The following is a 26,292-nucleotide window of genomic DNA, read 5'->3' on the forward strand; positions in this document are numbered from 1 at the left end:
TGGGTCCACAGAAGTGATAGCCACATAGAGGCAGCAGTTTCTCATAGACTGTCCCACAACTCCTCTTTGTCATTGACTTAAACAGCTAAACGTGCTTAACTTTCCATGTTTTCCTGCAAGCCCTGACTTGTCCACCACACCAGTGCTTTAGGGGGAGTCATTAGTAACTCTTGATCTGATCTTTCAATGCTCTCTTCTGGACCTTCACTTCCCAGCTCTTCCCACCCTTTTGCAAAGTCGGATTTCCCAGAATCCCCACAGTGGCTCTGCTTTCCTGACTGAACTATGACTGGTACAGTTATGGCTAGGTTCCTCTTGGACACCAAAGTCACCCAAAAGGATAGTCCAGCTTTGGAGTAGGAGGAAGACAGTAAACTAAATCTCCAGTGACTGAGGCGCCATGACTAGGAGGTCATTAGATGATGGCAACCAGGAGGGAAATAGAGTGGTGGAACCAACTAGATAGACTGAGTGGCTAAAAATTAGGGGGTTTTACATGCAGGTGGCAGAACAGTGGCCTGAGCAAAGCACTATAGAATGAGGAGAATGCTTACCCTTCTCCTACTCTTAGGTGAGGGGCTCCCAAGATACGCGGGTGAAAGCCAGGGCTCAGAATGAGAAGGTAGAGAAAGACTCCAGTTAAGAAAGCCAGACTAGAGTTTGATTTTATAGACTAGGGGTGGTTGAACAGTGCAGTGGCTGAACACCACTGTGCTGTTCATGTGTATGTGAAACAGCCACATACACAAGTGAGCTTGAGAGAATTGTTTGCCTCCTCTGTGCCTCAATGTCCCCATCAGTGCAATGAGACCATGATAGTACCTACCTTATAGGACTACTGAGGAAATTAAAGGAGTTAATGCATGCAAAGTGCAAAGAACAATACTCCCTTAAAGTAGTGCTTAACAAGTAATACATACTCACTGAAGTTTTTTTTTTTTTTTCATTTGGCCCTTATCAAAACTCTGAGGTGTCAGCAAGGTAGGGATTATTGCCCCCAGTTGAAGAATGTGATACCCTGAGAGGTTATGGAGTTTTCCAAGAATCACACTTAGGAATAGAGTTCAGACAAGTCCCTGGTCTCCTAACTTGCTGGCCAACACATTTTCTACCACTGCTCCCTGCATTAGGAGTTCTGAGAAATGGTGAGTGAACAGGTCAGATGATGAGTAGTGTTGCATAAGCCAGGAAATTCTTCTCATCAAATCATGCCTTCACAGAGCCCTCAGTTATAGCCACCCCACCTAACAGTCACCCAGTCTTTACCATCAGCCCCTTCAAGCTGGGGTTCATCCTTTAATTGTCTCTGATTCCAGGTCCCTCCGCTGTTGGTCCTCAGAGCTGGTGGAAGATTGAATCTGCCCTTACCTGACCTAGTACATCCTACTGAGTTCCTGTTGAGCTTAATGTTCAGACAAACTAGTGATCTGATTAGCCCCAGTGTCTCCTGCTCTGGTTAGCCCCCTGCTGCTCTAATAGAGGAGGAGGGAGATTAAATGAGCAATGATGGTGAGGTGGTGGAGCTGCTGAAGTGTGTTTATAGATGGATTTTTAATATAAAAAATAATGACAATTGGCACTGGCAATTAATATATAATGAAGGCCCAGTAGCTGGAGCTGCTGATAAGAGGATAATAAATTGAAGTGTGAGAAACCCCCAAACCAATAGAGTAAATATCTGGAAATATTCATACAACCAGTAACTATGCGCTTTCCTTTGCCATTGGTTAGGGTGATCCAAGAGGGGAGCAGACAAGCAGATAGCAGGAATTACCCTAATATCATGAAGGGCAGGGCAGAGTGGGATCCTTTTAGCAGGTGAAAGCAGGGTTCTTGGAAAATTAGCAAACAGTGGTGGCAAAAGCATCAGAGAAAGGAGCCTGACTCACAGGCCTGGGTAGTGAAGGCTAGGAGGATGAGCAGGGCTCAGGGAGGTTACTGCTATGATGACAATATTCCAGGGAAGAAAATCTGAAAAAAAAATCATTCCAATGGGTTCAGGAATCTGAAATATCATCTCGCTGTAGCTCTGACTGCATTTTAAAAAATAACAGTTTTATTGAGAAATAATTCACACACCGCAAAATTCACTCTTCCAAAGGGTACAATCCAGTGGTTTCTAAAGTACATTCACAGTTGTGCAACCATCACCACTATCAATTTTGGAACATTTTCTTTTTTTTAACCACTTTATTGAGGTATATTGCATTAAAAGTTGTGCATATTTAATGTGTACATCTCAAGGAGTTTGGGGATAAGTATACGCCTGTGAAACCATCACCATTATCAAGGCCATAAATATTTCCATCACCTCCCACTGTTTCCTCCTGCCCTCTTTATTATTGTTTTTGGGTGTGTGTTAACAACACTTCATAAGATCTAGTCTCTTACAGCATAGTATAGTAGACCTTCAGAACTTATTTATCTTGCATAACTAAAACATTGTACCATTTGACCATCACTTCCCTATTTCTCTCTTCCCCCTTGTCTTTATCTGCCTGACTTATTTTACTTAACAAAATGCCCTCCAGGTTCATCCATGTTGTTGCAAATGTCAGGATTTCCTTCTTTTTTTAAAGGCTGAATAATATTCCACTGTACGTATGTACTAGACTTCCTTTATCCATTCATCCATCCATAGACATTTAGGTTGTTTCCATATCTTGGCTATTGTGAATAATGCTGCAGTGAACACAGGGGCACCAATATCTCTACAACATACTGATTTTCACTCTCTTGTTTGCGGTATTTTGTTTTGTTTTGTAGTTAGTTAGAGATGGGGTCTTGGTCTGTCACCCAAGCTAAAGTGCAGAGGTCCAATCATAGCTCACTGCAGCCTCAAACTCCTGGACTCAAGAGATCCTCCTGCCTCGGCCTCCCAAGTATGCAGCTTTGATTTGCATTTCCTTGACAATTAATGATGTTGAGCACCTTTTTAATACCCGTTGGCCATTTATATGTCTTCTTTTGAGAAATGTATATTCAAGTCTTTTGACTATTTTTAAATCAGTTTATTTGCTTTTTTGCTCTTCAGTTGTATGAGTTCCTTGTGTATTTTGGATATTTATCCCTTATCAGTTATATGGCTTGCAAATATTTTCTCCTATTCCATAAGTTGCCTTTTCATTTTGTTGATTGCTTTCTTTGTTGTGCAGAAGATTTTCAGTCTGATGCAATCCCATTAGTTTATTTTTGAAATATCAGCCACCCTTCATTCCTCCTATCCCTCCAGCCCTGACAACCACTAGTCTTCTTCCTGTTTCTGTGGATTTGCTGACTCTGGACATTTTATATAAATGGACATTTTATACAAACCATACAATAGGTGGCCTTTTGTGTCTTGCTTCTTTTACTTAGCATAATGTTTTAAAGGTTCATCTATGTTGTAGCATGTATCAGACCATCATTCCCTTTTATGGCTGAATAATATTCCAATGTATGGATATAATGCATTTTGTTTATCCATTCATCAGTTGGTGGACATCTGAATTGTTTCCACTTGAGGGATCTTATGAATAATGCTGCTATAAATATTCATAGAAAAATTTTCTATGAAAAATATGTGTAGACATATTTTTTTTCATTTCTCTTGGGTATATAGCTAGGAATGAAATTGCTAAGTCTTATGATAACACTCTATGTTCAACTTTCTAAGGAACGGCCAAACATTTTCACAACAGCTACACAATTTTGCATTCTCACCAGTAATGTATGAGAGTTCCAATTTCTGTACATCCTCACCAACATTTATCTTCCAAATTTTAAAAAAATATAGCCATCATAGTGTGTGTGAAGAGGTATCTCATTGCGGTTTTCGTTTGCACTTCTCTAATGACTAGTAGTGTGGAATATGTTTTCATGTATTTATTGGCCATTTGTATATCTTCTTTGGAGAACTGTCTATTCAGAACTTTTGCCCAATTTTTAATTGGGTTGTTTGTCTTTTTATGGCTGAGTTGTAATGTTTCTTTATGTATTCTGGATACTAGATCCTTTCAGATATATTATTTATGAATATTTTCTTCCATTCTATGTGCTTTGTTTTCACTTTCTTGACAGTGTCCTTTGATACACGAAAAGTTTTAGTTGCGATGAAATCCAGTTAATTTCTCTTTTCTTTTGTTGCTTGTCCTTTTAGTGTCATCTGACTGCCTTTTTAAGGCAGTGGTTCTTGATCTTTCCTATCCTATAACCACTCCAACCCCAACTCCAATCACACTATTGAAGATCTTTGGTCCCAAGCAAATAAATTAAAAGCTGACTTTTCTGAGAACTTGTTGATATGCTTCCCGGCCTTCTGCTATGATGTGGTTAATTGACGGGCAGCTGTGAGGCCAGACTCAATCACAATGGGATGGAGGGAGGCAGTAGCAAGTTATATTTCCATAGCTCTACAACCCAAATGCACTCAACTATTTCCATTAGTAGTTGAAGGTTGTTATAATACAGTTGAAGAAATGTCACCTTTGCAGTGGCTGAACAATGCAAAGATGGGACATTTTTCAAATGACTTTAGTATCGATGGCAATAAATATGGTTGTTTTAATGAAAGCACTAAAGGCAAAGTAATACTGGTAATAACCATAACTGATATGAACACTCTGTTTCCCACCAAGACTAATCCTAGACTGAAACCTATACCATGTAAGCCTCTGTGTTTCTTCTCCATGTCTTTGAGGCTGCCTCCCACTGCATTTTTTTTTGAGACAGGGTCTCCCTCTGTTGCCCAAGCTGCAGTGCAGTGGTGCGTTCTCAGCTCACTGTAGCCTCTACCTCCCAGGCTCAGGTGATCCTCCCACATTAGCCTCCTGAGAAGCTGGGACTACCCCAGGCCTGGCTAATTTTTATACTTTTTTTTTTTTTGTAGAGATGGGGCATATTAGTCAGGGTCTCTAGAGGGACAGAACTAATAGGATAGATGTATACATGAAGGAGAAATTTATTAAGGAGTATTGGCTCACACTATCACAAGGTGAAGTCCCACAGTAGGCCATCTGCAAGCTGAGGAACAAGGAAGCCAGTCTGAGTCCCAAAACCTTAAAAGTAGGGAAGCTGACAGTGCAGCCTTCAGTCTGTGGCCGAAGGCCTGAGAGCCCCTGGCAAACCACTGCTGTAAGCCCAAGAGTCCAAAAGCTGAAGAACTTGGAGTCCGATGTTCAAGGGCAGGAAGCATCCAGCACGGGAGAAAGATGAAGGCCAGAAGACTCAGCCAGTCAGCTTCTTCCACCTTCTTCTGCCTGCTTTTTCTAGCCACACTGGCAGTTGATTGGATGGTGCCTACCCAGATTGAGGGTAGGTCTGCCTCTCCCAGTCCACTGACTCAATCTCCTTTGGCAACACCCTCACAGACACACCCAGGAACAATACTTTGCATCTTTCAATCCAGTCAAATTGACACCCAATATTAACCACCATATGGGATTTTTCCATGTTGCACGGGCTGGTCTCGAATTCCTGAGCTCAAGCAATCTGTCGGCCTCAGCTTCCCAAATTGCTGGGATTACAGTGTGAGCCACTGTGCGCAGCCCCACTTTACATGCCCAACTTTTACTCGACTTTTAAAGTCCAGCTCACCTTCTTCATGAAGCTTTCCCTGACTTCCCTCATCCTTTACCCTTAAAGCAACCTGAGGTGAGGGGTGCTAGTCAACTGTGTGTGGACTGATGACTTGCAAAGAGCCAAGGTTCAGGAGGAGGAGGTAGAGAAAGCCTCAAGTTGAGAGAGCCAGACTGAAGAGGAGTTTGATTTTATAGACCGGGGGCAACTGAATAGTGCAATGGTGAAACACTTAGTGGCTAATACGCTATGGCCTTGGGAAAATTTTTGCCTTCCCTGTGCTTCAGTTTCCCATCTATTCAATGAGATTATATTAGTATCTACCTCATAAGCATGTTAAGGAAATTAAATTAATTCATAAATGCAAAGGACTAAGGGTGATGCTCCTTTAGAGCAGTTTTTGACAAGTAATGTGTACTTATTAAAGGCTTTATTTATATATTTTAATATTGTATTTGGTTAAAAGCTCAGGCTTCTCATGTGAGAAGCCCAGGGGCAGATCTCAAGGGCTCAAGTTCCATTCCACAGGAAGTTCTCACAGATGTTAAAATATGCACAGAGCAGACTGGGATATGTGAGGTAGCAAAGACTCCTGTACCATAGCAGTGTCTCTAGTAAAATTTGGATATAGAATTTGGAGCAGACATAAAAATATCTGAAAATAAATTCTTAGAATTAATAAGTGACATCATTTATATAGACCAGCAACAAACAAATAGAAAAAATTTACATGATAAAATTGACAATTGCAACAAAAGCATCAATTATGTAGAATTTAGTATAAAAACGATGTATACAACCTTCATAATGAATGCTACAGGGCATTACTGATAGAAATTTTAAAAGACCTAGAGAAATGGAGATATATATCATGTTCACAGATTGAAAGAGTCAATATTGTTTAGATGTTAATTCTCCCAAAATTGATCTACAGATCCAATATGATTCCAATAAAAATAACAGTAGGTTGTGTGTGTGTAAATTGACAAGCTGATTATGAAATTTATATGGAAATGCAAAGGGTTGAGAATAGGTAAGACTGTCCTGAAGAATAACAGAACTGGGGGCAGTTACACCGCCTTATATCAGGATTTATAAAGCCACATTAATTAAGATAGTGTGTTATTGTCACAAGGATATAAAAAATATTCCTGAACAATGAAACAGAACAGAGTCCAGAGACTGATCGAATACATGTCATTTGACTTATGTAAAAGATGAAACTGCAGAGCAGTGGAGGAAGGATGGCCTTTTTAATGGTGCTGGGCCTCACCATTCTTCTCAGACCTGAAGTTAAGCACCACTTCTTGAACTCTGCCCACAATTTGCACCAATTTGTTAATTACATCACCAAAGGAGAAAATATCAGAGGAGAGGGCTGGGGTCCTTATGTGGTTTGGATATTTGTCCCCTCCAAATCTCATTTTGAAATGTGATCCCCAATGTTGGAGGTGGGGCGTGGTGAGAGGTGTCTGGGTCAATGGGAGTGGATCCCTCATGAATGGCTTGGTGCCTTCCTTGTAGAGATTAGTGAGTAGTCACTTTGAGTTCACATGAGAACTGGTTGTTAAGGGCAGTTAGGGACCTCCCCCTTTTCTCTCTTGCCCCCTCTCTTGCCATGTGACATGCCTGTTTTCCCTTCACCTTCTGCAATGAGTGAAAGTTTCCTGGGGCCTTGCCAGAAGCTGAGCAGATGCTGGTGCCATGCTTGTGCAGCCTGCAGAATCATGAGCCAAATAAACCTCCTTTCTTTATAAATTATGCAGTCTCAGGTATTCCTGCATAGCAACACAAAATGGTCTAATACACTTCCTAAGAAACACTAACATATGAGGGACCCATGGAGAAAGGAAAGCCCAGAAAAAAGAGTAAAAAGGAGTAGTCAGAGAGGTAGGAGGCCAATCAGGACTATGTGGGGACCTGTAAGCTGAGAAAAGAGAGCATTTCCAGAAGAGAGCATCTGCTATGCCAAATGCTGCTGAGAGTAAGGAAGGTGAGAACTGAAATGAGTCCCTGAGATTTGGCTAGGTGGAAGTTGTTGATGGTTTTGAAAAAAGTTGTTTTGGTGGAGCAATGAGCTTAGCAGCCTGACTGGAGAGATTTAGGGAAAGAAGAGGTGGAACAGAAGCGGAGAGAAGGAGGCTGGGTGCAGCAGCTCACGCCTGTAATCCCAGCACTTTGGGAGGCCGAGGTGGGCGGATCACCTGAGATTGGGAGTTTGAGACCAGCCTGACCAACATGGAGAAACCCCGTCTCTACTAAAAATACAAAATTAGCCAGGCGTGGTCACGCATGCCTGTAATCCCAGCTACTCAGGAGGCTGAGGTAGGAGAATCACTTGAACCTGGGAGATGGAGGTTGCGGTGGGCTGAGATCACGCCATTGCACTCCAGCCCAGGCAACAACAGCAAAACTCCTTCTCAAAAAAAAAAAAAATGTGGAGAGAAGGAGTCTAGGCTATTATTTGGAAGAGTTTTGCTGTAAAGTGGGGCTGACACAAGGTGGGCAGCTGGAGGGACACGTAGAGTTAAGGGAAGGCGTTTTTTTTTTTGGTAAGGATATGAACAACAAGGTTGTCTTGTGCTAATGTGATGAGGCCAGTGACCATAACGAATTATGTGGCTGACTTTATTTTAAAAACATTTCACGCATTTTCTTATTTGATCCTCACCGACCCTGTGAGGTAGGTAGATGCAATTATTAACCCAAGTTTACAGCTGAGGAAACGGGCTCAGAGAGATAAAGCAACCTAGCCTAGGTTGCAGAGATAATAAGTGGCAAACTAAGTTCTGATCCCAAGCAAGTGTCACCAGAGTCTGGGCTCTTAGCCAACATACAACATTGCCTCCCAGATAAGAGGAAGTAAGTAGAAAGACTGGAGAGAAAGAAAGGCGAGAGGAAATTCGTGAGGTGCTGAAAGTCTGAAGATCCTGGGAACCAGTACCCAGGGAAGGGATTGACCTAGGATGGAGAGAGGGTGGACCTCTCTCTAAGTGAGACACACAGCTAGGAAGTGGCTGTGATGTTTAATATTGAGTGTCAATTTCACTGGATTGATGGATGCAAAGTATTGTTCCTGGGTGTGTCTGTGAGGGTGTTGCCAAAGGAGATTAACATTTGAGTCAGTGGGCTGGGAGAGGCAGACCCACCCTCAATCTGGGTAGGCACCATCCAATCAGCTGCCAGCATGGCTAGGATAAAAGCAGACAGAGGAACGTGGAAGAACTAGACTGGCTTAGTCTCCCAGCTTCCATCTTTTTCCTATGCTGGATGCTTCCTGCCCTCAAACATCAGACTCCAAGTTCTTCAGCTTTTGGACTCTTGGACCTTCAACCACAGACTGAAGGCCGCACTGTCAGCTTCCCTACTTTTGAGGTTTTGGGACTCAGACTGACTTCCTTGCTTGTCAGCGTGCAGATGTCCTATTGTGGGACTTCACCTTGTGATCATGTGAGTCAATACTCCTTTATAAGTTCTCTTTCATATATACATCTATTCTATTAGTCCTGTCCTCTGGAGAACCCTGACTAATACAGAATTCAAACCCAGGACTCACTGCAGAGAGTGGATTGGAGAAAACAGAAAATGTCTTCGTGGGCTTGTAGATGAGAAGCAAGGCCTGGTTTACTCAATCATGTCAAACGTGAGGCTGCTTTAGGATAACCCAGAGGAAGCAGGTGTTATTTTTCTTTTCTTTTTTTTTTTTTTAAGCAGCCAGCTTCCATGCACAGAGAAGGCAGCTGGGAGGCAAGGGATCAGTGCTCAACTTCAACTCTGCCACTGACTCACTGAGGGACCAGCAAGTACATTGTCCTCAGCATCCATCTAAGCTCAACCTCTCTTATCTGTCTTGCAGCCTATGCAACACAATCACAAGTAAGTGACCACTCCAACTTTCTGTTTTACTTTAGGCCCTCTAAGATCATCCGGGCAGGTCCACCCTATCCCAGGTCTCCCACTTTCGTTAATGCAGCAAATAATTAATTGCCTTCTTTTTACTTTCTTTTCCTCTCTCTCTCTTTAATTTTGAGACAGGCTCTCGCTCTGTCACCCAGGTTGAAGTGTAGTGGCACGATCTCAGTTCACTGCAGCTTCAAACTCCTGGGCTCAAGCCATCTTCCTGCCTCAGCCTTCAGAGGAGCTAGGACCACAGGCACCTGGTTTGATTGCCTTCTTTGTGTTAGGCACTACACTAGTGGCTGGGAATCTAGGGGTGAACAAGTCAGACAAGATCTATGCCATCAGGAAGCCTGTGGTCTGCAGGGGGCCACAGGCCACTAAGAAGCAACTTCACAAGATGCTTGCATGAAAGACTGTTATGAGTGCTATGAGATTAAAGAACAGAATACCGTCCTGGAGAGAATGAAAGGATGGCTGAGCTACTGCCAACAGGATGGTCAAGGATGGTGTCTCTTGAGGAAGTGATGTTTGAACAGAGACTTGGATGTTGTGAAGGAGACAGTTATGTGATGATCTGTGGACAGAGCATTCCAGGTTTGGGAAATGGTAGTAATAAAAGTGCTGAGGCAGGAACAAACTTCACGTGTTAGAGGGATGGCAAGAAAACCAGTGTAGCTGGGTGGAGAGAGTGAGAAGGAGAGAGGGAGATGAGGTCATAGAGGAGATAGCCAAATAATGGCTTCCCCACAAGATGACCACACCTTAATTCCTGGAACCTATGAATATGTTAGGTTGCATAGCAAAAGGGACTTTGCTGAGGTGATTAAGGTCACAGGCCTTAACATAGGGAGATTCATCCTGGATTAACCAAGTGAGTTCAGTCATGTCAAATGAGCCCTTAAAAGCAGGGACTTTTTCTGGCTGGAGTCAGAAAAGATGCAGTAGAAGTCAGAGAGATTCAAAGTGTGAGAGCGACTGGACATACCATTGCTGGCTCTAAGTTGTAGGGATCATAGTCAAGGGCCGGAGAGCAGTCTCTGTGAGCTAAGAGTAGTTCCTGCCTGACAGCCAGCAAGAAAATGGGGACCTTAGTCTTATAACAGCAAGGAACTGTACTCTGCCAACAACCTGAATGAGCTTGGAAGCAGATTCTTCCCACAGTTTCCTGATAAGAGCCCAGCCCACCAACACCTTGATTTTAGCCTTGTAAGACTCAGAGCAGAGAAACTAGTTGAGTCCCCTCAGACTTCTTCTCCCCTCCAGAATGTGAGATAGTAAATCTGTGTTGTTTTAAGCCACTGAGTTTGTGGTAGTTTTTATAGCAGCCACAGGAAACTAATACACCATGGTAAGGACTTTAGATTCAATCTAAGTGTCCGGGGAAGCCACTGGGAGGCTTTAAGCAGAGAAGTGACATGATTTGATTTCCATTTTCAAAGTTCACCATGGCAGCTGTGGGGCAAATGGACTGCAAAGGAGCAAGAGTGGAGGTTGGGAGCTGAATTAGGCTTTTGCAGTTGGTCAGCAGACAGGTGATGATGGCTTGGACAAGGGGGTGGCAGTTAGGGTGGAGAAAAGTAAGCAGATTCAAGATATGTTTTGGAGTTAGAAACTCAATGACGAATATATGCAAAGATGGAGGGAAAGATCAAGAATAACATTCTGGTTTGAGCAACTGGATGGATTATGGAGCCATTTCCTGAGATGCGGAAAACTAGATGAAGTGCGGGTTTTTTTTTTTCTAGGGCGGGAGCTGGGCAGGGTTCAGAGCAGTGGATGGGCAGAGAGCTGAGAAGGAAGACAATGGGCTCAGTGTGGGCATGTGTGTGGAGTTTCGGGTCGGCAGCTAGATGTCAGGGTTGGATCTGAGGGGAGAGAATAGCTTGTGATTTCTTGGACCAGCCAATCAGAAAGCTTCCTGGATTCCTCTAGACCTCCCCAGTTGTGGCTTCAGGTGGAGCTGTCTGTAGAAACTCCAGGTTGGTAGGTGACAAATAATAGTGACTCCTCTTCCTGAGTCCTGGCATTCCTTACTCAAGGAACACTCAGCGGCCTGAACATGTTGAGGAATATTTTTTGTGTGTGGCCAGAAAGCCTACAGAAGGCAAAGAGGCATGGGGGGTTGACGGCCTTCTCCATTGCCAGGGGTGGCATGCAGGTGGGCAGTAACTCCCCATTCCTGGGTCACTGAAGGGACCAGGATCCATTCTCCAGATGGAGAATGCAATAGGCTCTGGGACTTCTGGCAGCTCCCACCTGACCTCTGCTTGCTCTGGTACAAGCACAGTGTTGAAGCCCAGAGGAGGTCTTCCTGGACCAAGTCCTAATTATTCCAGGCATGTCCATGATGCCATAATTTTTTAAATTTAATTTTATTTTTATTATACTTTAAGTTCTAGGGTACATGTGCACAATGTGCAGGTTTGTTACATATGTATACATGTGCCATGTTGGTGTGCTGCACCAATTAACTCGTCATTTACATGATGCTATAATTCTAAATAAGGTGTCATCCTGGTGTGGGAGGTCCCTGGGCCAGCCAAGGAGACCCAGCCATTCCTGTGATGCCTCACCACATCACAGGGGGGAAGGCTGGGGAAATCTAAGGAAATGTAAGGAAGATGGTACTATTTTCTCTCCTCTCTACCCTATCAATGGCCCTGGATTGCCCATGCAAGCACAGCCTGGGAGTAGACACAAAGCCACTGAAGACAGTTGTTCCACATCTCTGGAATTCGCAAGCCATTTTCTGCTTGAAGCCAGAAATAAGGATAGCACATTGGCATTCTTCCTCAGAACCTCCTGGACCTGCTGACCAGGCAGAGCCCTCACCCAGACTCCCTATCAGGGTAGGAGAATTAGACACAATTTAAGGCACCAACCAGTTCACAGAACTCATGCTGGTCTTTACTCTAACGTCAAAGGACAGCCACAGAGCTGACTCCCTGTCCCATGGGCTATGAATCTTGCTATCAGCTTTGAGTCTTCTGTCATCAACTGTACTACCCTTATTGTAGCAGCCATCTACAGGCTTCTGGATCATTCTCCTTCATTTCTTGGGAATCCACAGGTAAACAAGCTAGACACTGACCCCCAGTTAGCCCTGGCTCACCATCACTCTCTCTAACACTACTCCTTCCATAATTCTTGGTTATAACCACACAGATGATTCTTCCAATATTCTGGCTTCTCCTTTCCTTGAACTTCTTTCTCTGAATGATCTTGTCCATCACTTGCATCAGCCAGAGTCTATTCAGGAAACAAAAACATGACAGTTATTTGAACAGATAATTGTGAAGTAGGTATAAAGTTGTTAACCGGGTAACTGAAAGTGTAAAAGCAGGTACCATGGAGGCAACTGCAGGAAGCAGCTCCCATCCCGGGGCTAAGGGAACAGAGGGGATAATTACAACTTAGAAACTTATAAGAGGAGTCCTGTGAACCTGGATCAAGACCTCTGAGGATGCAGTGTGGATGGTGGGTGCTACTGTCTTTAAGCTTGGAAAAGAGTCCCAGGCAGCTGGGACTCAGACCTCAGAGGGGGGTGCTGGCTAATGCTGATGTCACTGAATTTGGAGGAGGACCTATGGGGCTGGGACCTAGACCTCTGAGGAGGGAACTCTGGGTGGCTTTTTCTCTCTTTCTGAGCTCAGTGGAGGGGACCAGATCTCTAAGTGTGCATGCATGTTCGGCAATAGGAAGGTTGGGGTGGGAAGGATGCACCAGTTGCAAAACATCACACTCTGCTGCTTTTTCTCTTTTCGCTGGCAGCTCATTCACCGTCTCCTTTGCTGCCTCCTCCTTATCTCCTCATACCTTGAACTTCTCTTTTGCGTCTCCACTCACTACCTTGATGTTCTCGCCTTGTCTCATGCCTTTAAATACACTTACTATTCTGTTGCCTTCCAGATTTATATTTCTAACCCAGTTAAGACTCTTATCTTACTGCCTACTCAACATCTCCACTCAGATATTCAACACTTTTATCTCAAACAAATGTGCATGCCCCAAAGCGAGCTCCTGACAAATACTCCCCTCAACCTGCTCTTCCTGCTGTTTCCCTAGCCTCAGTAAATGGCAACTCCATTCCTTCATTGGGTCAGGCTCAAAACTTTTAAGCCATTGTTGACTCCACTCCTTATCTCATGCCCTACCTCTAATCCATCAGCAAATTTGGTCAACTCTACCATCAGAACACATTCAGAGCACAGTCACTTCTCACTACCATACTGCTATCCTCCCGGGTTGAGAAACCACCATCTCTCATCTGGACCATTGCAATAGCTAATTGCTTCTCCTTTAGGCTCCTGTAGCAAACTGGCCACTAAGATTGGAACTCCCTCTTCTGTCGTAGGGAGTTGTTGCTGGGAAGTGGCTGTCCAGACGGGAATATTTCCCAAGTTTTTGTCTATTCAGGTGGGACCATATGAATTGTTTTCACAATTGGGATATCAGCAGAAATAAGATAAGTCATGTAAAAAAGATGACCATTATCTTATTTATAAGTAATAAGAAAATAAGATAACCAGTAATAAGGAAAAAGAGAACCGTCTGGGTCAAGGTGGTTTAGAAGCAGGTGTTTCTTGTTTCTTCTTCCTCTACCTCTGTGGCTCAAAACTGAGAGTGATTTTGCCCCACCCCTGCCAGGGCACATTTGGCAATGCCTGGAGACACTTTTCATTTTCATGAGTCGGGGGTGGGGGGATGTGTTACTGGCATTTAGTGGGCAATGGTGAGGATGCTGCCAAACATCCTACAGTGTCCAGGACAGCTCCCCCAAACAAAGAATTATCCAGCTCAAAATGTCAATAGTGCTGAGGGTGAGAAACCCTATAGGATAAAATCTTTAGACCCTAGTGGGTGGTAAAACCACAAAATCAAAAGAACTTGGTTTCCTGAATAACTATGTGGAAGACCATCCTCAAACCCAGAATGCTCACGTCGGACTGCTAAAGTGAATTAAACCACTGAAATGTTTAGGTTTATTTGTTAATTAAAACACTCCCTTAAGTCATTCTCAACATAGCAGGCAGAATGATCCTGTTGAAACATAACTCAGGTTACATCACTCTTCTGTTTAGAAACTCCCAATGTCTTCCCGTCACAGTCCAAGTAAAAGCTAAAGTCCTCATGATGGTCTAAAATGCCCTATGTGATCTGGCTTCCCAATATTCTCCCGACCACGTCTCCTACCCCTTTTCCCTATGGTACTGTGCTCCAACTAACCTGGTCTCTTTGCCTTCTTGAACCCTCTAGGCGGCTTCCAACCTTAGGGTCCTTGCATGGGCTATTCCCTTTGTTGTAAATGCCCTTCCCCCAGACAACCACACGGTGTCCTCTCTCAGCTTCTTAAAAAAATTATAATTTTTTTTACTTCCACATAATCAGTGGAAGCATTTAGTCATTCTATTAATCATTTATTTCATGTTTAACTCTTATTACATCTAAATTTAAAAGTATTGCTAAGAAGTTGTGAAGGTTTGGGAAGGAGGAGTCTCTAGATTCTCGTTCTTTTTAAAAAATACTTTCTAAAAATTAAAAAAAGTTTCAATAGCTTTTGAGGTACACATGGTTTTTGGTTACATGGATGAATTGCATAGTGGTGAAGTCTGAGATTTTAGCACTCCTGTCACCTGGGTAGTGTACATTGTACCCAATATGTACACTACCCTGTACATATTGCCCTGCTTTTGAGTCTCTATAGTTCATGATACCACTCACTATGCCTTTGCGTATCCATACCTTAGCTCCTGTTTATAAGTAAGAATATACAGTATTTGGTTTTCCATTCCTGACCTACTTCACTTAGAATAATAGCCTCCAGCTCTATCCAAGTTGCTGCAAAAGACATTATTTCATTCTTTTTATGGCCAAGTAGTATTCCATGGTGCATATATACCACTTTTTGTTATTCACTCATTGGCCTCCAGTGTCATCCATGTTACTGCAAAGGACATGATCTCATTCTTTTTATGGTTTTGTAGTATTCCAGAGTGTATATGCACCACATTTTTTTTATCCAGTCCACCATTGATGGGCATTTGGGTTGATTCCACACCTTGGCTGTTATGCTGCAGCGAACATACGTGTTCATGTGTCTTTATGGTAGAATGATTTATATTCCTTTTGGTATATACCCAGTAATGAGATTGCTGAGTTGAATGGTAATTCTGTTTTAAGTCCTTTAAGAAATCACCAAACTGCTTTCCACAATGGCAGAACTAATTCACACTCCCACCAACAGTGTATAAGTGTTCCCTTTTCTCTGCAACCTTGCCAGCATCTGTTGTTTTTTGACTTTTTATTAACAGCCCTTCTGACTGGTGTGAGATGGTGTCTCATTGTTCTTTTGATTTGCGTTTCTCTAATGATTAGTGATGTTGAGCATTTTTTCATATGCTTGTTGGCCATATGCATGTCTCCTTTTGAAAAGTGTCTATTCATGTCATTTGCCCACTTTTTTATTAGGTTGTTCATTTTTTTCTTGTTAATTTGTTTAAGCTCCTGATAGATTATGGATATTAGACTTTTGTTGAATTCATAGTTTGAAAATTTTTCTCCCATTCTGTCGGTTGTTTACTCCGTTGATAGTTTCTTTTGCTGTGCAGAATCTCTTTAGTTTCCTTAGGTCTCATTTGTTCATTTTAATTTTTGTTGCAATTGCCTTTGGCATCTTCGTCATGAAATCTTTGCTGGGCCCTATGTTCAGAATGGTATTTCCTGCATTATCCTCCAGGGGTTTTATAGTTTGAGGTTTTATATTTAAGTCCTTAATCCCTCTTGAGTTGATTTTTGTATATGGTGTCAGGAAGGGGTCCAGTTTCAATCTTCTGCTTATGGCTAGCCAGTTATCCCAGTATCATTTATTGAATAGGGAGTCCTTTTCTCATTGCTTGCTTTTGTCAGGTTTATCAAAGATCAGATGGTTGTAGGTGTGTGGCATTATTTCTGTGCATCTATTCTGTTCTATTGGTCTATGTGTCTGCTTTTGTACCCGTACCATGCTATTTTGGTTACTGTAGCCTTGTAGTATAGTTTGCAGTCAGGTAACGGGATGCCTCCAGCTTTTTTCTATTTGCTTAGGATTGCCTTGGCTATTTGAGCTCTTGAGCTCTTTTTTGGTTCCATATGAATTTTAAAATTGTTTTTTTTCCAATTCTGTGAAGAATGTCATTGGTAGTTTGATAGGAATAGCAAATTGAATCTATACATTGCTTTGGGCAGTATGGCCATTTTGACAATATTGATTGTTCCTATCCATGAGCATGAATGTTTTTCCATTTGTTTGTGTTATCTCTGATTTCTTTGAGCAGTGGTTTGTAGTTCTCCTTGAAGAGGTCCTTAACTTCCCTTTTTAGCTGTATTCCTAGGTATTTTATTTTATTGTGGCTATTGGGAATGGGATTGTGTCTTTGATTTGACTCTCTTCTTGGATGTTGTTGGTGTATAGAAATGCTACTGATTTTTGTACATTGATTTTGTATCTTGAAACTTTGCTGAGGTTATCAGATATAGGAGTTTCTGGGCAGAGATTATGGGGTTTTCTTGGTATAAAACCATATCATCTGCAAAGAGATAATTTTACTTCCTCTCTTCCTATTTGGATGCCTTTTATATTTTTCTCTTGCCTGATTGTTCTGGCTAGGCTTCCAGTATTATGTTGAATAGGAATGCTAAGTAGAGCATCCTTGTCTTGTTCCAGTTTTTAAGGGGGATGTTTCCTGCTTTTGCCCATTTAGTATGATGTTGGCTGTGGATTTTTTAATAGATGGCTCTTATTATTTTGCAGTATGTTCTTTGATGCCTCATTTGTTGAAGGTTTTTAACATGAAGAGACATTGATTTTTTTCAAAAGCCTTTTCTGCACCTATTGAGATAATCAGGTGGTTTTTGTCTTTAGTTCTGTTTATGTGATGAATCACATTTATCGATTTGTGGAAGTTAAACCAACCTTGCATCCCAAGGATAAAGCCTACTTGATTGCAGTGGATTAGCTTTTTGATTTGCTGCTGGATTCAGTTTGCTATTATTTGGCTGGGGATATTTGCATCTATGTTCATCAAGGGTAATGGCCTAATGTTTTCTTTTTGTGTTGCATCTCTGCCAGGTTTCAGTGTCAGGATGATACTGGCTGGCCTCATAGAATGAGTTAGGGAGGTGTCTCTCCTCCTTGATTTGTTTGGAATAGTTTCAATAGGAATGGTACCAGCTCTTCTTTATACATCTGGTACAATTAAGCTGTGAATCCGTCTGGTTCTGTTTTTTTTTTTTTTTCTTTCTTTCTTCTTCCTTTTTTTTTTTTTTTTGATTGGCAGGCTTTTTGTTACTGCTTCAATCTGGGAACTCGTTATTGGTCTGTTCAGGGATTTAGCTTTTTCCTGGTTCAGTCTTGGGAGGTTAGATGTGTCCAAGAATTTGTTCATTTCTTCTAGGTTCTTTAGCTTGTGTGCATCGAGGTGTTGAGAGTAGTCTCTGAGGGCTTTTGTATTTCTGTGGGGTCAGTGGTAATGTCCTCTGTCATTTCTGATTGTGTTTATTTGGCTCTTCTCTCTTTTTTTCTGGTATATCTTATTAATTTTTTCAAAAAATTAACTCCTGGATCCCTTGATCTTTTGCATTTTTTGCATCTCAATTTTCTTCAGTTCAGCCATGATTTGCGTTATTTCTTGTGTTCTGGTAGCTTTGGGGTTGGTTTGCTCTTGTTTCTCTAGTTCCATTAGTTGTGACATTAGCTTGTTGATTTGAGAACTTTCTAACTTTTTGATTTGGGTGTTTAGTGCTCTAAATTTCCCTCTTAACACTGCCTTAGCTGTGTTCCAGAGATTCTGTTATGTTGTATATTTGTTCTCATTAGTTTTGAAGAATTTCATGATTTCTGCCTTAATTTTGTTATTTATTCAAAAATCATTCAGGAGCAGGTTGTTTGATTTCCATGTAATTATATGGTTTTGAGTGATTTTCTTAGTATTGATATCTATTTTTATTGCACTGTGATTTATTGTCTGAGAATGCGGTTGGTACTTCAGTTTTTTTAAATTTATTGAGAATTGTTTTATGTCTGATTCTGTGGTCGATTTTAGAGTATGTGCCATGTGCAAATGAGAAAAATGTATATTTTGTTGTTTTGGGGTATTCTATAGATGTCTATTACATGCATCCAGTCAAGTGTTGGAGTTCAGGTCCTGAATATCTTCATTAGTTTTCTGCCTCGATGATCTGCCTAATACTGTCAGGGGGGTGTTGAAGTCTCCCACTATTATTGTGCCATCATGTAAGTCTCTTTGTAGGTCTCTGAGGACTTGCTTTATGAATTTGGGTGCTCCTGTGTTGGGTGCATATATATTTAGGATAGTTAGTTAGATCTTCTTGTTGAATTGCGCGCTTTACCATTAGGTATTGCCCTTCTTTGTCTTTTTTGATCTTTGTTGGTTTAAAGCCTGATTTGTCTGAAATTAGTGCTGTAACTCCTGCTTTTTTCTGTTTTCCATTTGCTTGGTAGATTTTTCTACATGTCTTTATTGTGAGCCTATGAGTGTCACTGCATGTGAGATGGGTCTCTTAAACACAGCATAAAAGAAGCAAAAAGGGTCTTGCTTCTTTATTCAGCTTGCCACTCTGTACCTCTTAACTGGGGCATTTAGTGTGTTTATACTCAAGGTTAGTATTGATCTGTGTGAATTCATTCCTGTCATCATGTTGTTAGCTGATTACTAAGCAGACGTATTTTTTGTAGTTGTTTTATAGTGTCACTTATCTATATACTGAAGTGTGTTTTTGTAGCAGCCAGTAATGGTCTTTACTTTCCATGTTCAGCACTCTCTTCAGGACCTCTTGAAAGGTAGTTCTGGTGGTAATGAAATCCCTTAGCATTTGCTTACACAAAAAGCATCTTATTTCTTCTTCATATTTGAAGCTTAGTTTGGTCGGATGTGAAATTCTTGGTTGGAAATTCTTTTCTTTAAGAATGCTAAATATAGGCCCCCATTCTTTTCTGGCTTTTAGGGTTTCTGATGAAAGGTCCACTGTTAGCCTGATGGGGTTCCCTTTGCAGGTGACCTGCCCCTTCTCTGTAGCTACCTTTAACATTTTTTCTTTCATTTGAACCCTGGAGAATCTGAGGACAATGTGTCTTTGAGATGGCTGTCTTGTGTAGTATCTCATAGGGGTTCTCTGCATTTCCTGAATTTGAATGTTGGCCTCTCTAGTGAAGTTGGGGAAATTTTCATAGATGATATGCTGAAGTATGTTTTCCAAGTTGCTCTCTCTGTTTCAGGGATACCAATGGGTCATAAATTTGGTCTCCTTACATGATCCCATATTTTTCAGAGGTTTTGTTCATTATTATTTATTGTTCATTTTTGTCTGAGTTGTTTCAGAGAACTGGTCTTCAGGTTCTGAGATTCTTTCCTCAGCTTGGTCAGTTCCACTGTTAATACTTGCAATTGTATTCTGGAATTCTTGAAGTGAGTTTTTCAGCTCTGTCAGCTCAGTTTGATTCTCTCTTTCTCTCTCTCTTTTTTTTTTTTTTTTTGAGATGGAGTCTCACTCTGTCACCCAGGCTGGAGTGCAGTGGCACGATCTCGGCTCACTGCAACCTCCACCTCCCAGCTTCAAGCGATTCTCCTGCCTCAGCCTCCTGAGTAGCTGGGACTACAGGTGCCTGCCACCACGCCCTGCTAATTTTTGTATTTTTAGTAGAGACAAGGTTTCACCATGTTGGCCAGGCTAGTCTCGAACTCCTGACCTGAGGTGATCTGGCCACCTTGGCCTCCCAAAGTGCTAGGATTACAGGCGTGAGCCACTGCACCCGGCCAATTCTTTCTTATAATGGTAATTTCATCTTTCATCTCCTGTATTGTTTTATTGTTTTTCTTAGGATCCTTGGATTGGGTTTTGACTTTCTTCTGAATCTCAATGATCTTCATCTCTATCTATATTCTGAATTCTATTTCTGTCATTTTAGCCATTTCAACAGAAGTGAGGAACCATTTCTGGGAAACTAGTGCAGTCGTTTGGATGTAAAAAGACACTCTGACTTTTTGAGTTGCCAGAGTTCTTGCACTGGTTCTTTCTCATCTATGTGGGCTGATGTCCCTACAATCTTCGACATTACTGTCCTTTGGATGTATTTTTTTTTTTTTTGCTTTTATCTCCTTTGATGCCCTTGAGCATTTAATTGTGATATAAGATAGATTCAATAGACTAGCTTCATTTCTGGTAGATTTTTTGTGTGTGTGTAAGGTCAAGGCTTGGCTCAGCACTCCTGGACTGTGTGCTCTAACTCTGGAGGGCTGGTACTGGGCCTCCAGCTTTATTCATTGGTCCCTCAACATTGGGACCCTGCTGTGCTTGAAGGGGCCAAGGTGTTCCTGGGCCACTGGCCACAGAACTCCAAAGGGTGGTGCCAGCCAAAGCACCTCATTGGGTGGTAGCAGTGAGATCTGTGTGCATTCCAATGTGCTTACAGTAATGGCAGTGCAGTGGGGTGCATGCTCATTGGTTGGGGTGGGATACTGATAAGTCTGGGATTACCAGCTTCCTTGCAGTCATTGGCAACAGCAGCAGTGGCAGCTAGCAGTGGGGGGACGTGGCAACTGGGGTCCATGTGCCCATTTGCACCCATGGCAGTTTCAGTGTGGGGGAATGGGTGCTGGCCGGTGTGGGGCTGCCAACCTTTGTGCCCACATCCAGACCAGTGGTGGTTGTGGCATGGGATGGGGGCAGGGCCACTGGTGTGAGTCTATGCGCTGGCAATGGTGGCAAGGTGGCACAGTGGCAGGGGAGTGGGTGCATTCATGCCAGTGGCAATGGCACCATGGGTGCACGTGCACCCATGAGCTGATGCAGAAGAAAAGACGAGGCCTGTCCATTCACATGTGCACCAGCAAAGCAATGGGGGAAGTGGCCATGGGTGAGTGCATGCCAGCAAAGTGGCACATGGGAGGCTGCAGTGGGAGAAGGATGCGGGTATGCTGGTGCACGTCGGCAGGGGCCACTCTGCTGGAGCTCTCTGATGGTCAGGTGTGGTCTGCCAGCACAGAAGCTATGATGTGGTTCCCTGGGAGGCACCCTGGTTGGGCATCTGAGGCTTCACTGCAAGCAGGCATGGCCAGGTTGTGGCCTTGGGAGAGGCCAGCAAACAGAAGGGTGCTCAGGTCAGACTAGCCCTGTCTCATGGGCAAGATTGTCCTGCTCTGTTTGGGTCTGACAGTTCACCTAAGGCTGGAATCTCTGAAGGGAGCATGGTGAGTGCTTTGGGGGATGGACATCTCTGGTCATGTTTCCCTGCAGATGTTCTAGCACCAAACTCTCTGGGCTCTGCACAGGCTGGAGTCCTGCCCCTACCACTTCTCCAAGCAGTTCTCCCTGCCAGCTCAAGTGTCTGTGCCAGTCGTGGGATCTCCTGCTGCCAGGATTCCAGAAGTCCGTGGAGAGAGTGGGTCGTTCCTCATCTGCTCAACTCACCCCAGAAGTCACTGGGGGCCAGGAACGAATCCTGGTGTGCGGTAGTCTGTGCACGGCTCCCAACTTCCTCCCGCTTCAGCACAGCATCTGTGTCCTCCCTCTCAATGCCTTCCTTCTAATGATCTTCTCAGAGTGTGCCAGTCTTACTGGTGTCTTGGTCCCTCGGTGGCAGATGTTCCTCCTAGCTGCATCTAGTCAGCCATCTTGCCTCCCCTGTCATCATTTCCCACATTCCAGGATGTCCCAGTATCCTCAATACAGATGTCCCAGTATCTGCAGGTCACAGGGAGACTGAAGCTGTGGGCCTCACCAAGCAGAGTCTCTCCCTCTCTTTCAGGGGCACCAATAAGTTGTACATTTGGTCTCCTTATGTAATCCCATATTTCTTGGAGGTTTTCTTCGTTCTTCTTTAATATTTTTTGTTTATTTTTGTCTGCTGAGTTATTTTGGAGAACTGGTCTTTGAGCTCTGAGATTCTTTCCTCAGCTTGGTCGATTCTGCTATTAATACTTGTAATTATATTTTGAAGTTCTTGAAGAGAGTTTTTCAGCTCTATCAGATCAGTTTGGATCTTTTCTTTTTCCTTTCCTTTCCTTTCCTTTCCTTTCCTTTCCTTTCCTTTCTCTTTCCCTTTGCTTTCCTTTTTTTCTTTTCTTTTCTTTTTTTTCTTTCTTTTCTTTCTTTTTTTCTTACAGGGTCTATCATCCAGACTGGAGTGCAGTGGTGCAAACATGGTTGACTGCAGTCTTGACCTCTCTGGACTCAGTTGATCCTCCCACCTCAGCCTCCTGAGTAGTCAGGACCACAGGCGTGCACCACAACGCCAGCTATTTTTTGTACTTTTTTGTAGTGACAGGATTTTGCTATGATGGTTAGGCTACTCACGAACTCCTGAGTTCAGGCAATCCACCTGTCTTGGCCTCCCAAAGTGCTGGGATTACAGGTGTGAGCCACCACACCTGCCTGATTCTTTCTCAAAATGGCCATTTTGTCTTTCGTCTCCTGTATTATTTTATTGCTTTCCTTAGATTCCTTGGATTTGGTTTTGACTTTCTCCTAGATCTCAATGATCTTCATTCCTATCTATATTCTGAATTCTATTTCTGTCATTTTAACCATTTCAACCTGGTGAGGAACCATTTCTGGGGAACTAGTGCAGTCATTTGGATGTAAGAAGATACTCTGACTTTTTGAGTTACCAGAGTTCTTGTGCTGGCTCTTTCTCATCTGTGTGTGCTGATGTCCCTTCAATCTTTGACACTGCTGTCCTTTGGATGCTTTTTTTCCCTTTTATCTCCTTTGATGCCCTTGGGCATTTGATTGTATGAGGTGGGTTCACCTTATACAAGGATATAAGGTGGGTTTAGTCAACTGGCTTTATTTCTGGAAGATTTTAGGGGGCCAAGGCTCAGCTCAGCACTCCTGGACTGCATGCGCTAATTCTGGGGGCTGGTACTAGGCCCCAGGTTTGTTCTCTGGCCCCTCAAAGTTAGGAACCTGCTGATCTGGAAGGGCCGAGGTGTTCCTGGACCACTGTCCACAACACTCCAATGGGTGGTGCTGGCCAAAGTACTTCACTGGGACAGTGGCAGCAAGATCTGTGCTCATTTGCATGTGCCAGCAGCAGCGTGGTGGGGTACACGCTCATTGGCTGGGGTGGGCGCTGGCAGGCACGGGACTGCTGGCCTCCGTGCATGTATTGGCAGCAGCGGCTGTAGCTTGAGCAGCGTCACTGGCCTCGGTGTGTGCCTTTGCAATGGGGGCAATGTCTGCATGGGGATGGGATACTGGCTGCCACAGGGCTGCTGGCCTCCTTGCATGCATTCATGCTGACAGTGGTAGTGGCGTGAGGTGCAGGTTGTGGGCCAGGGTTGCTATCTCAGCTTCTTGAAATCATTGCTTAAATGTCACTCATGGGCCCTTTTCCAAATATCCTATTAAAATTCCAACTCCTTGCCACGCCTGTACCCTGCCTAATTTTTTTTCCATAGCACATCTTGCCATCTGACATACTATGTATTTTACTTATTTAATTGTCTGTCTGCCTTAACTAAAGAGAAGCTCCATGAGGGAAGAGATTTGGTATCTTCTGTTCATAACTGTATCCTTAGTAACTAGAAAAGTGCCTAGCTTAATGCTACCATTGAATGAATGAGTGAGTGAATAGTACATGAATAAGGCCATCTGTGTGCTTGCTGGGCCCAGCTGACAGAGGTAAAGTGGAGTGACGGGCTTTTGGAGCTGGCAGACAGGTTCCCACCATTGTTTCTCAGACCCACCCTCTTCCATTGCTCTGGGTAACAGTATTGGAGAGGACTGAGGAGTAGGTGGTTAGTGCTCACTGCTTTCTCCAGCATGATCTCTGGTTGTCAAGAGGACACAGGGTATGGGGCAGAGGATGGAGTTGACAGGACAGTTGTAGCAGGAGGATCTGCATGGGTGCTTGTCCCCAAGATCCTTAAAGTCCCCAATGGACCTATGTGCCTGGTACCTATGGGCACATGCTCTGCCTTGCTTTGAGGTGTGGAGGGGATCCTCAGGGGTTTTTGTTGGGGAGGGTACACAGATTCTCCAGGTATTAGTAGGCTACTAGAGAGGGGGCACTCAGGCTTCAGGGAAGTCATGGCTGCTGTGAAATATTGTGTCATAGGTGAAGGGGACAATCAGTCATCTCAGACCAATTTGGGCAGAGATAGATAGGCAGGACAGCTGTGCGACCCGGGAGATGTGGGGGATAGTGGCAGCAGTGTCTTGAGATTCTGTTGTGTGTGCATACACACGTACTCCTTACAATGAACCTGTGAGGTAAGTACTGATACCATCTTTGCTTTTTTAAAGAGAAAACTGAAGCGCAGAGAGGTTAAGTACTTTGCTCAGTCTCACACAGCTAATAAGTGGGAGAGTCAGGATTTGAATCCAGGCAGTTGGGCTGGGTCAAGAGTCACACTCTTAGCCATCACTCTACCGCTTCTCATGATGAGCCCAGAACTGGATGTATTCATTTGCTGGTAAGGAGAGAAACTATTTTCTGTTAGGTGCAGACCATTCTTACGGTGGTGCTGGGTACCTAATTCAGGCCTACCTGACTATATTGTCTTTGGTTCAGCCAGGGATGGAGAAGGGGGTGACAGGTCTTAGATATGTGTGTGTGAATGGGAAGGTCTATGAAGAGGACTTTGCAGAATGGGGATGTGATTCAAGAGGACTTTGCAGAATGGGGAGGTTGAGTGACAGGCTTCCCCTGGAGACAAGACACCCCTACTGGAGAGAAGGATAGTGTCTGGAACTCATAGAGGCCCAGTACTCAGGATGAAGTATGCGATCGTGGCAAGGATACCTCTCCATCTAAGATGGTGTTGTGACCTTGGAAAGGTGGTCATATCTGTGATGACATCAGTGGTATTGTCCTGAAGAAGGGGGAGTTAGGACTTGGTATTGTAGTCTTTAAGGTTCTCCAGGTCTGCCTTTGGACTGAGTTCTGGTATAACTAGTGGTGGCATCCTGGAAGACACCAGTACCATTAAAGAATACTGTGACAGACTCAGGGTTCCCAGTGGCCTCCAGAGCCATGTGCTGAGTGTCAAATAGGCCTGGGTGGCTTGCTAAGGTGGAAATAGCATGGTGTGCTTGCTTTCCCCACCAGGACTTACAGCTGGCTCTTGCGGAAATTATATCATGCCATGCCTCACACCTTGCTCCTTCAGAGCATACGCTGGAGTGGTAAGCATATTGATCAGACACTGGTGTTTGCCTGGCTGTGTTGCCTCAAACATCCATCACCACAGCTGAATGGCCCCATTGTTATCAGACCATAGGCTTCCAGGGCTGTGGAGGCTCCTGCTGTCTCTTGGAGTGATGGCTTTGGTGAAAAGCATCTGGGTGGTGATTTTGGCTACTCACACAGATTATCTGTGGAAGCTGAATCTCTGGACAAATTACCTACTCCCCAGGACAGGCTGAGCTTTGGTGTTGATCTTACTGCTGCTGCCTCTGACCATGGAGAAGACATGGGCCTCTCTCCTGGTGCCAGGCAGATCACTAGCCTCAGCCAGGCAGTTTCTGTGAGAAGCTGGCTCAGGTACAGGCCCCTGAGTCCTGATACTCTGCAATTGCCTCGAAGAGCTGACTTCCATGACTTTCTGAGTTTAGTCAGGGTGGAGAGTAACATTTCTCAAGTCCTGGAACATCTACCAGGGTAAGACTGCAGGTAGTCTTTTTCCATCTCTGGGAGACGTGCTTTCAGGCTGGGTGGGTGAGGGGAGCTGCAGTGGCAACTTTTTCTCCTCCCAGCACTCAGGCCAGTGGCCATGGGCATTTGGGAAGAGCCCTGGCTAATTGCTGCCAGCTTCTTCTCAGCCAACCCTTCCCGTT

Source organism: Homo sapiens, chromosome X, assembly GCF_000001405.40.
Source record: "Homo sapiens chromosome X, GRCh38.p14 Primary Assembly".
Classification (NCBI taxonomy): Eukaryota; Metazoa; Chordata; class Mammalia; order Primates; family Hominidae; genus Homo; species Homo sapiens.